The sequence below is a fragment of the Homo sapiens genome, chromosome 13 (assembly GCF_000001405.40).
Source record: "Homo sapiens chromosome 13, GRCh38.p14 Primary Assembly".
Lineage (NCBI taxonomy): Eukaryota > Metazoa > Chordata > Mammalia > Primates > Hominidae > Homo > Homo sapiens.
Window position 1 is genome coordinate 54,999,525 of NC_000013.11, and position 11,683 is coordinate 55,011,207.

Sequence of the window (11,683 nt, forward strand, 5' to 3'; positions counted from 1 at the left end):
TTACTTGCATACAGAAGGCCGGTCCTCTTACATCAAGTGGAAGTAACTCTAAGATGCCATTCACAAATGCAGCTCCCCACGGGATCAAGTTGAGACTTCAACTGAAATCAAATTTTGCATATCTTTTCCCCCCACTCAGTCCTGCTTTTTTCCCTTTCTCATAGGACTCTCCTGTGGGCATGCCCTCAATAAATCACTTTTAAATGAATCCCATTCAAAGCCTTTACTTCTGGGGAACCCAACTAATTGAGCTTCACTGCCTCTTTTATCTCCCTGTGCTCCATAGTGAGTCACCAGTTAATAGGAATGAATTAGTTAATATGTATACTCTTTGGGGGTAGTATAATCTTTTAACTCTTCAATAATTTTTCTTGTAATGAATATTTTAAATTTTAAAATGTGAAGATGTTACAGGGGCCAAGGGAAAGTTTTTCCTTAACACTCTGAAAGTTCACTGAAGAATCAACTGACAAAAGGCAGATTAATGGAGAAAAGACGCAAAATTTATTAATGTGAACATAAGTGAGAACCACAGAGTGATTCCCCCAACTTCCCAATGCGGTACAGAAACTTATATGCCATTTTTGGAGCTACACAAAGGATGAGGATTCAGAGCATGGTCACAAGTAGGTTATGGTGGTTAAAGCGGGTTATGGTGGCGAGACAGGTAATGGGAGGGAGAGCAAAGGAGGCCTGGCTAATAAAGGTGATTTGTTATTTAAATGAACCTCACAGGTAGCAGCCCTCAAGAGAACAGATGGTAAATGTGTCTTTCAGACCTTCAGAGGTGTCAGACTCAGTTAATCCTTCCTGAATCAGACAAGGAAAGACCTTCAGAGAAATTCTAGCTACATCAAATGCAAATATTCTCTTACAAATGCTTATCTCCCCCACAAAAGACAGTTCTGCATGACTACTTCTGTTTTCTGCCTATCTGAAAACCCATCTCAAAATATGTCAAAGAAGTATATATTGTGGGGTAAATTATTTTAATTTCCTTATTGTACATACCTTTTTTTCAATTTTCATTGTCACTCTATTATTACCTTTCTTTAATGATTTTGATATTTGCTTTTTAACTCCTTTTTGATTGTATTTGACAAATTTTCTTAATTTTGTTACTTCTCTATTTTTAACATTAAAGTTATCCTATGTTTATTTCTTTCTTTAGTTATTACTTTAATTTATTCTTTTCCTTTTTCATGCATATTTAAAATTTACTTTTAATTTTTGGATTCAATTTCTAATATGTTAAGGTTCATGATTATTTTCTCATTTATTACTGAAAATATTAATGCTATGATTTTACTTTTTAGTAGAGGATAGCTCTCTTCTGTGTGTTTCATATTGTCAGAGGCATTTGAACCAAAGAGACTCCATCTTGAGCGAGGGCTAGGAAAAATGAGGCTGGGACTTGCTGGGCTGTATTCCCAGGAGGTAAGTTATTACTAGCCTCTAGATGTTTACAGCCTAAGGGAACACTGTATCACAGTGGGCTTTGGGTGTAACAGACACCTACCCCTAGTCCCCGCCACGGGGCCGGAGCCCAAAAGCACTTGCACCAGCCTCTGCACCTGCCCATCTGCATGATCCTACTAAGGGTTTGAGCTGTAGGGTGACCAAGCAGGTGAGCCACACCCCTTGCATATCCTGTGAAGGGAATCAAGGAACTCCCCCATTTCAGTAACATGAATGATAATAGCAGCACAGTTTTTACGTTTTTTCACAGCTTTCTCCATGCTTGGTTATTTAGTTAGTATATTTTTAAAGGCAAATTATTATATACATTGCTCTGCAATTTTCTTATTTTCCTTAACATGGATATGCCTCTTAAACAATGGATGTAGTTTTAACTCATTCCTTTTAGCAGATTATAAAATTCCACAGTATGGTTCTAGCACATTTTTTTCTTTTTCAATTTGTGATGGTTAATTTCATGTGTCAATTTCACTGGGCCAAGGTATGTCCAGCTAGCTGGTAAAACATTGCTTCTGGTTGTTTCTAAAAGAGATTAGCATTTGAATTAATGAAATGAGTAATGATTACCCTCACCAAAGCAGGTGGTATCATCCAATCTGTTTCATGTCAAAATAAAACAAAAAAAGCTAAGAAGGAAATTCACTCGGTTTGAACTGGGACATCCATTTTCTTATGCCCTCAAACATCTATGCTGGTGTTTTCTGGGTCTTTGGACTCAGACTGGAACTTACACCAGGGGCTCTCCTGTACTTCCAGCCTGCTGATTTTCAGACTTCTTGATTCCATAATCAAGTGAGGCAATTCCCATTTTGTGTGTGTTTGCATGTGTGTGCACATGTGTATATTGTTGGAGTGGGGGGTCAAGGCCCTCGGCCACTTAAAGATTTGCTGAAAAATTACTGACATGAGGCAGATTGATTAATAGAAAAAAAGGCACACAAACTTAATGTGTACGCATGGGAGCGTTCAGAATGAAGACCCAACCCCCCTAAGGAGGTACAAAAGCTTGTATACCATTCCACAAAAGGTGGAAGAGTTTTTCACCTCTGTGGTGAGCTCATGGAAAAATACTGGAGGATGTTGGAGGGGAGGGTTGGTCATTGTGATTAGAACATTTGTGTTTGTTAATTGTTGCTTACTGACATTAGGCTCCTACCCTCCCCTACAAACCAGGAGATTGGGATGCTATCTCTTTAGATTATTACATTTAAAACAGATGACCCCCAGGTCCTTCAGAAAGGCATTTCTGGCAAGAGGCTGAGAGAAGATTTATATCTCAAAAGGACAGAGAAAGAATTTACAGTTGGAAATTTTCTAAAGTAAATGCTCAAATAAAGGGTAGGTCAGGGGCCTACAGTCAGGAAGAATTCTGTCTAAAAGTTTAGTTAACTTGATGGGGACTAAGGCCTTTCCTCTTATTTCTTAGGAAATCAGGTTCTTTTGGGAGTAAGAGGCGTGCCTTTTGAATTGACCTTCGGGTATTATTTTAAATCTGACAGCAACTGTCCCATCACTGCAGAAACCCCAATTTATGACACGTAGAGGGCACTCACTTTTGATTTCCAGAGCTGTTGCATGTTTCTTCCTAGTTTCATATTGTGACATTCCTTCCAAGGGACATGTGGGAGCATAAGGGTAAGCCAGAGGCACTGTCATTTTCTTTGAGTAGCCATGAATGATATGTTTTAAGTAATGGTTGGAAATCAATGAGGACAAACCTCTCATTTTATAAATGAGGAAATTAAAACCCAGAGAATGTAAGAAGTAGCTTTCCTGAGATTCTAAAACTAGTTAAGAAAGTAGCTGGAAAGTTAATATCTTCAAAATCTGTATTAGTTTTGAAGAAGTAATAGCTTACTTCTATTGCCACTTTCAGTTAACCTTAAAAATTACCTCTTCAACAGATTACTATTTTCTCTTCTTGAACTGTATTCTGATATTTGATTATTTTTAACCAATTGAAATGTTGCTATAAAATAATTCTTATTTAATTTTTCTTCTTTTACATAAAGTTAATAATTGAACTCCTTGTTTTGCTATGGACATGCACTTGCTCCTTTTGCCTGAGAACCAGTAGTTATAATAAGTTTTGAATAATTTGGAAAATGTGTGGCTTAACAAGAAATGTTGTATTTTTATATTATGTAATAATTGTAACATGTTCTTATTAACAGCTCATTTTTTGGATGTATTTCAGAGAAGTGCTTTAGTAAAGTGCCATTACTTCTGATAATTTCATGCTCAACATATATTATGACTCAATTACATAAGATTTAGTAAATTATGCTATTAAAATAGGTACTTTTAATAGGATAATTTACGTAATTAATTATATTAGGTATGTTACAACATATGACAAGTAGATTCCTAGAGCAGGAAAGAATACTTGAAAATTATAAATCAAAAATAAAGTTCTAATTCCCCCAGCCAACTGAATGGACCCCTCCTTCTCAGCCAAGGGCATTGCAAAGTTAACCCAAGAAACTAGTTCAGGCCATTGGTGGGAAGTGGGGGTTAGACATGCCTCGTTATACCCTTGTCCCTTTTGAATTCAGGCACAACTGACCAGCATTAACATTAAAACAGACTTTAAGACTGACAAAACAGACTCTTTGTAGCAATAAGATATCAACACGACAGCAGGCCCTGAAAGCAATCAAAGTATTTTACCATAATATATATTTATTTGACATATTTTGAAATGGCTCTGCAAAGCTGTCTCTTGTGGGGAAAATTTACATTCTGTAGAGAATCCTCTTTCCCTTCCAGGTCTCTTCTCTGATCCAGGAGAGAATTAACTAAGAGTCTGTCATTTTTTAAAGTCTTGTCTGAAACATTTATAATCTATTCTCTCTGAAGCCTGCTACCTCGAGGCTTTATCTGCATAATAAGACCCTTCGTCTCCACAACCCCTTATCTGAACCCAGACACTCACTTCTATTGATTCTAGGTTTTTAGATAATTTCTTAACTCTTTCAACAAAATTTCACCCAATTGCCCATCAGAAAATCTTTGAATCTACCTATAACCTGAAGACTGACCCTCACACCATCCCCACCCTGCTTCAAGTTACTGTCCTGAACCAATGTACACCTTACATGTATCAATTGGTATCTTATGTCTCCCTAAAACATATAAAACCAAGCTGCAATTATACCATTTTGGGCATATATTCTCAGGACCTCCTGGGGCTGTGTCACTGGCCATTGTCACATATATTTGACTCAGAATAAATCTCTTCAAGTATTTTACAGAATTTGGCTCTTTTCATTGACAAAATATATCTAGACTTTATAGGAATGCCAGTAATAATAAGAGTTATCTGTGTTAGTCTGTCCTTGCACTGCTGATAAAGGCATACCTGAGACTGGTTAATTTACAAAAGGAAGAGGTTTAATGGACTTACAGTTCCACATGGCTGGGGAGGCCTCTCAATCATGGCGGAAGGCAAGTAAGAGCAAGTTACATCTTATATGAATGGCAGCAGGCAAAGAGAGAGCTTGTGCGGGAAACTCCCAGTTTTAAAAACCATGAGATATTGTGAGACTCATTCACTATCATGAGAAAAGCACAGGAAAGACCTGCCCCCCATAATTCAATCACCTCCCACTGGGTTCCTACTACAACATGTGGAAATTGTGGGAGTTAACAATTCAAAATGAAATTTGGGTGGGGACACAACCAAACATATCATTCCACCCCTGGGCCCTCTCAAATCTCATGTTCTCACATTTCAAAACCAATCATGCCTTCCCAAGAGTCCCCCAAAGCCTTAACTCATTTCAGCATTAACTCAAAAGTCCACAGTCCAGTTTTTCATCTGTGACCAAGCAAGTCCCTTCTGCCTATGAGCCTGTAAAATCAAAAGCAAGTTAGTCACTTCCTAGATACAATGGGGGTACAGGCATTGGATAAATACAGCCATTACAAATGGGAGATATTGGCCAAAACAAATGGGTTACTGGCACCATGCAAGCTCAAAATCAAGTAGGGAAGTCAAGTCTTAAAGCTCCAAAATTATCTCCTTTGAATCCATGTCTCACATCCAGGTCATGCTGAGGCAAGAGGTGGGTTCTCCTGGTCTTAGGAAGCTCTGCCCCTGTGGCTTTGCAGGATATAGCTTCCCTCCCATCTGCTTTCATGGGCTGGCATTTAGTGTCTGTGGATTTTCCAGGCGCATGGTGCAAGCTGTCAATGGATCTACCATTCTGGGGTCTGGAGGACAACGGCCCTCTTCTCACAACTCCAGTAGGTGGTGCTCCAGTAAGGACTGTGTGGGGGCTTCGACCCCACATTTCGCTTCCTCACTGCCCTAGCAGAGGTTTTCCATGAGGGCCCTGCCCCTGCAGCAAACTTCTGCCTGGGCATCCAGGCATTTCCATACATCCTCTGAAATCTAGGCAGAGGTTCTCAAACTTCGATTCTTGAATTCTGTGCACCCACAGGCTCAATACCACATGGAAGCTGCCAACGCTTGGGGCTTCCACCCTTTGAAGCAATGGTCTGAGCTATACCTTGGCCCCTTTTAGTCACAGCTGGAGCAGCTTGGATGCAGGACACAAAGTCCCTAGACAGCACACAACAGAGGGAACCTGGGCCCAGTCCAGGAAACCTTTTTTTTTCTCCTAAACCTCTGGGCCTGTGATGGGAGGGGCTGCCTCAAAGGTCTCTGACATGCCCTGAAGACATTTTCCCCATCGTCTTGGTAATTAACATTTGACTCCTTGTTACTGATGTGAATTTCTGCAGCCAGCTTGAATTTCTCCTCAGAAAATGGGATTTTCTTTCTATCCCATTGTCAGGCTGTAATTTTTCCAAACTTTTGTACTCTGTTTCCTTTTTAAAACTGAATGCTTTTAACAGCACCCAAGTCACATCTTGAATGCTTGCTGCTTAGAAATTTCTTCTGGCAGATATCCTAAATCATCCCTCTCAACTTCAAAGTTCCACAAATCTCTAGGGCAAGGGCAAAATGCCACCAGTCTCTTTGCTAACACTTAACAAGAGTCACCTTTGCTCCAGTTCCCAAAAAGTTCCTCATCTCCATCTGAGACCACCTCAGCCTGGACATTATTGTCCATATCACTATCAGCATTTTGGGCAAAGCCATTCAACAAGTCTCTAGGAAGTTCCAAACTTTCCCACATATTCCTCTCTTCTTCTAGGCCCTCCAAACTGTTCCAACCTCTGCCTGTTATCCAGTTCCAAAGTTGCTTCCACATTTTTGGGTATCTTTTCAAGAGTGTCCCACTCTACTGGTACCAATTTACTGTATTAGTCCTTCTCATGCTGCTGATAAAGACATACCTGAGACTGGGTAATTTATAAAAGAAAGAGGTTTAATGCACTCACAGTTTCACCTTGCTAAGGAGGCCTCACAATCATGGCAGAAGGCATGGAGGAGCAAGTCACATCTTATGTGGATGGCAGCAGGCAAAGGGAGAGCTTGTGCAGAGAAACTCCCATTTTTGAAACCATCACATCTCTCGTGAGACTCATCCACTATCACAAGAACAGCACAGGAAAGACTCGCCCCCATAATTCAATCACCTCCCACCGGGTTTCTCCCATGACACAAGGGAACTCTGGGAGTTATAATTCGTAACTCAAATTACAAAACGTGAGGACACAGCCAAACCATGCCACTATCCTTGGAATTTTTTTTTAATAAAAACAATCTCTATAAATAACAGTTTCAGAATATATATTTATTTAAAGAAAATTTTAGCCTTTTTTTGTTATATTGTAGAAAAACAAAGAGCTTGGGAAGAACCACAAGCTCCTTGAATTACTATAGCCTTTTTGAATTCTTCTGTAGCCTTGCCTTCAATTTGTGGTATGTTGTGAAATGGCAATTTGGTATTATTGACACCCAGATTTTATAAGAGATTAGATCCCTGAACTCATGCATGTTAACATTATCATTATTTTTGCCATATGTTTAATAGGATAAATATTAACTCCACTATACAAAGTGTTAAACATGTCTCAGATTGAAAAAATAAGATGGACTGGACTATTCATTTTCATCTAAGAAAATCTTATCCTGGATTAGCTCTTAGATAGCATGTTGTACAGAATTTAATTTTATATGGGGGTTTCATATCACCAATAAACTATGAAAGATATTAGACTCGAAGAGAATGAGACATATTTCATGTCAAAAATAAATTGGTATTGATTTTCAAACTTTGCCTGAAATAGAAGAAGGAACAGAAAAGGTTTTCTGTGAAGTAAGCTACACCAGCAAATGCAAGTAAATAAAGATTATTTGGATATTCAAGAGTTTTAAATGTGATATAAATGGATGTCTTACAAGTATATGTAATGTTAATGTATGTATGTCTTTTTGGAAGTATGCTTGTATATCTTTGTATATGTGTGTATTTCCCTATTTGTTTATTTTATATATTCTACATTGTTCTTAATGATTTAGGATGTTTTTCAAATTACCATTAGATACGGTTAAATTTTCTCTTACTAACAATTCAACATCAGGAATGAGTTGAAATTTAATCTTTATTTAGGTCTTTTATTTACATTGATAACTTTGACCTTTATCTTGATTGAATAATTTAAATGAAATCAGTCTTTTCTTAACAGCTTTTCAATCTGGTAGTAAATTCTTATCATTTTAAATTGCCTCAACATCCATTTTGAGTACACGTTTAACTTTCTCATACCAGAAGCAGGGCTTAGCCACCCTTGACACAATTTCTAGTTCTACACCAAACCCAAATGGCACAAGCCTATGGCCTGAGATAAAAACTAGAGCTCTCTCTCCTGCCTAGCAGACTGTGCTCCTACTTTCCCTCTGCACCAGAGCAACGGTCAGGCAGGCATGGGTCAGCAATGGGTAAGACAAGAGCCATAAGAGTGTTTGCCAATATAAACAAGTTCCCCATGTGAGTGAGCCCTGGTCGTGGCTGGGAGAGCTAGGCATTAGGCTGCTGCCAGATAAAAGAAGTATCTTGTTGAGGTAGGAGGTAGAACTTGATTCTGAAGGCTGGGCTCAACTCCAGACCAGGTTGAAGACTGACTGACATGCCCACCAGCACCATGACAGTTTACCCATTCCCTGTCAATGACCTGGAAGTTACCACCCTTTTCTAGGAATTTCGGAATAACTTGTACCTTGATGCGCGTGCAATTAAAAGTGGATATATATGTGATTACAGAACTGCCCCTGAGCTGCTACTCTTGATGCACTGTCTATGGGGTAGCTTGCTCTGCAAGAGCAGTCATGGAGCTGCAACCCTGCCACTTCAAAAAAGCTTTCTTCTACCACCTGCTTGCCTTTGAATCCCTTCTTGGAGGAAGCCAAGAAATTTCACAGGTGGAGGCTCAAAGTTGGGGCTTCCTTTTCCTGCAACACTGTGAGAGACACACTGTAAATACTCATGTCCAGCTCCCCTCATTTCCTATTAGGGCAAGGTTGATAATGGCTCTGGTACTAGAACCTCAATTTAGCCAGAGGCTCCCAAGAAAGTCCTATAGCATCAGATAGAAAATAGTAAGCTTATATTATAGAAAGAAATTATTAATATTTGAGCAAAGGATGACTAAAACATGAATAGCTACCATTATGTTTATTAAATACACTTTGTATTGAATCATCCACAATTTTCATAATTTTTCTCATTTTCCCATTAGATCATAGTTCCAATTTTTTTTTTTTTTTTGAGACAGTGTCTTGTTCTGTCACCCAGGTTGGAGTGCAGTGGCGCAATCTCGGCTCACTGCAAGCTCCACCTCCTGGGTTCATGACGTTCTCCTGCCTCAGCCTCCCGAGTAGCTGGGACTACAGGCACCTGCCACCATGCCTGGCTAATTTTTTGTATTTTTAGTAGAGACGAGGTTTCACCATGTTAGCCAGGATGGTCTCGATCTCCTGACCTTGTGATCCTCTCACCTCAGCCTCCCAAAGTGCTGGGATTACAGACATGAGCCGCCACGCCCAGCCAGTTCCATATTTAATTTTTCTTCCTGCTATACATAGCCCCAAATTATTTGAAAACATTATGTTGATAAAGTAATTTATCTCATATAAAAATGAGGAATATTCCTAGGGAAAGTAGAAAGATTAAAATGTAAATTCATATTAAAATGATAAAATGTATTCAATATATTCTATACTTTAAATATATCTAAGTTTTAACATATACTCAAATTGTTTAAAAGAATAAAGCATTTTAAGGTTTTAAAAGTTTTTTATATTAAAATATAATACAATTCTCTCTTATAAAAATAATAAAATATTTGTTTCTTTACCTACGAAAACATGTTCATCTCAACAATGCTTCACATTTTCTTCCCTCTTATAAGACAGTGATCAAAGATGTCTGAAATATTTTTAAATGAATCGTGGTTATTTTGTAATTCATAAATGTATATATCTAGCAAAGTGATTTTTATAATAAATGGTTTAGCTTATGGTTTATTGCCTACTAAAATACTTCTAATAATTTTATGGTGGTAGTGGTAATCATGCAGTGAAAAGTGCCAGTTTGATGGTTTCCACAATCTCTTAAAGAAAAATGCATTAAATAAAATAACATTTTATATTTCTACATTTATAAATAACTACCTAAGCAGCCAGAGAGAAAGATCGGGTTACCTAAAGAGGGAAGCCCATCAGAATAACAGCAGATCTCTCTGCAGAAATCCTACAAGTCAGAAGAGAGTGGGGGCCAATATTCAACATTCTTAAAGAAAAGAATTTTCAACCCAGAATTTCATATCCAGCTAAATTAAGCTTCATAAGGGAAGGAGAAATAAAATCCTTTACTGATAAGCAAATGCTGAGAGTTTGTCACCACCAGGCCTGCCTTACAAGAGCTCCTGAAGGAAGCACTAAATATGGAAAGGAAAAACGCTACTAGCCACTGCAAATAACATACCAGATTGTAAAGACCATCGACACTATGAAGAAACTGCATCAACTATTGGGCAAAATAACCAGCTAGCATCATAATGACAGGATCAAATTTACATATAACAATATTAACCTTAAATGTAAAGAGGCTAAATGCCCCAATTCCAAGACATAGATTGGCAAATTGTATAGAGTCCAGACCCATAGGTATGCTATATTCAGGAGACCCATCTCACATGCAGAGACACACATAGGCTCAAAATAAAGGAATGGAGGAAGATTTACCAAGCAAATGGAAAGTAAAAAAAAAAAAACAGGCGTTGCAATCCTAGTCTCTGATAAAACAGAATTTAAACCAACAAAGATCAAAAGAGTCAAAGAAGTGGATTACATACTGATAAAGAGATCAATGCAACAGGAAGAGCTAACTATCCTAAATATATATGCATCCAATACAGGAGCACCCAGATCCATAAAACAAGTTCTTGGAGACCTATAAAGAATCTTAGAATCCCACACAATAACAGTGGGAGACTTTAACACCCCACTGTCAATATTAGATAGATCAATGAGACAGAAAAGTAACGAGGATATTCAGGACTTGAACTCAGCTCTGAACCAAGTGGACGTAATAGACATCTACAGAACTTTCCACCCCAAATCAACAGAATATACATTCTTCTCAGCACCACATTGCACTTATTCTAAAATTGACCACATAATTGGAAGCAAAACACTCCTGAGCAAATGCAAGAGAACGGAAATCATAACAAACAATCTCTCAGACCACAGTGCAATCAAATTAGAACTCAGGATTAAGAAACTCACTGAAAGCTGCACAATTACATCAAAATGGAACAACCCGCTCCTGGATGACTACTGGGTATAAATAACTACCCAAGTGAAAATAAGGAATAATAAAATAAATTTCACTGTTTATTTTAGCATCTGTTATGTTTAGAATTTAACACTATTTTGCACTTATATTAATTGCCTAATAATTATTTTCATTACAAAATCATTACAATCTAGAAAATTAACATGAAACTCCAAGCAATTATATTTAATTTTTTTATCTAGTCATCAGCTCTCAGATAGTTTAGTTTGAGGTCATTCATTTTAGATTATTTTATGTTATTATAACTATCTAAAATATACTTTATATTATATATTTTTCTTATTTAATTCCATATCTTCTTACCAACACAATTTTTATTGATTGGCCAACATGAAAAATCATACCATGTAATATAATAACAAGTTCTTTTACTCACATTTATTTTTTAATTAAAAATTATTTAGCTAAATAATATTTAAATTTAAATAATT

At 37.6% G+C, this 11,683-nt stretch overlaps 1 annotated feature.

Annotated features, from left to right (window-relative positions):
* Positions 453 to 989: an enhancer, noted in NCBI's record as "OCT4-NANOG hESC enhancer chr13:55574112-55574648 (GRCh37/hg19 assembly coordinates)". NCBI's record gives its function as "activates a minimal SCP1, AML or CMV promoter by ChIP-STARR-seq in naive and primed H9 embryonic stem cells {active_cell/tissue: H9 hESC(naive and primed)}" and the evidence as "EXISTENCE:reporter gene assay evidence [ECO:0000049][PMID:30033119]".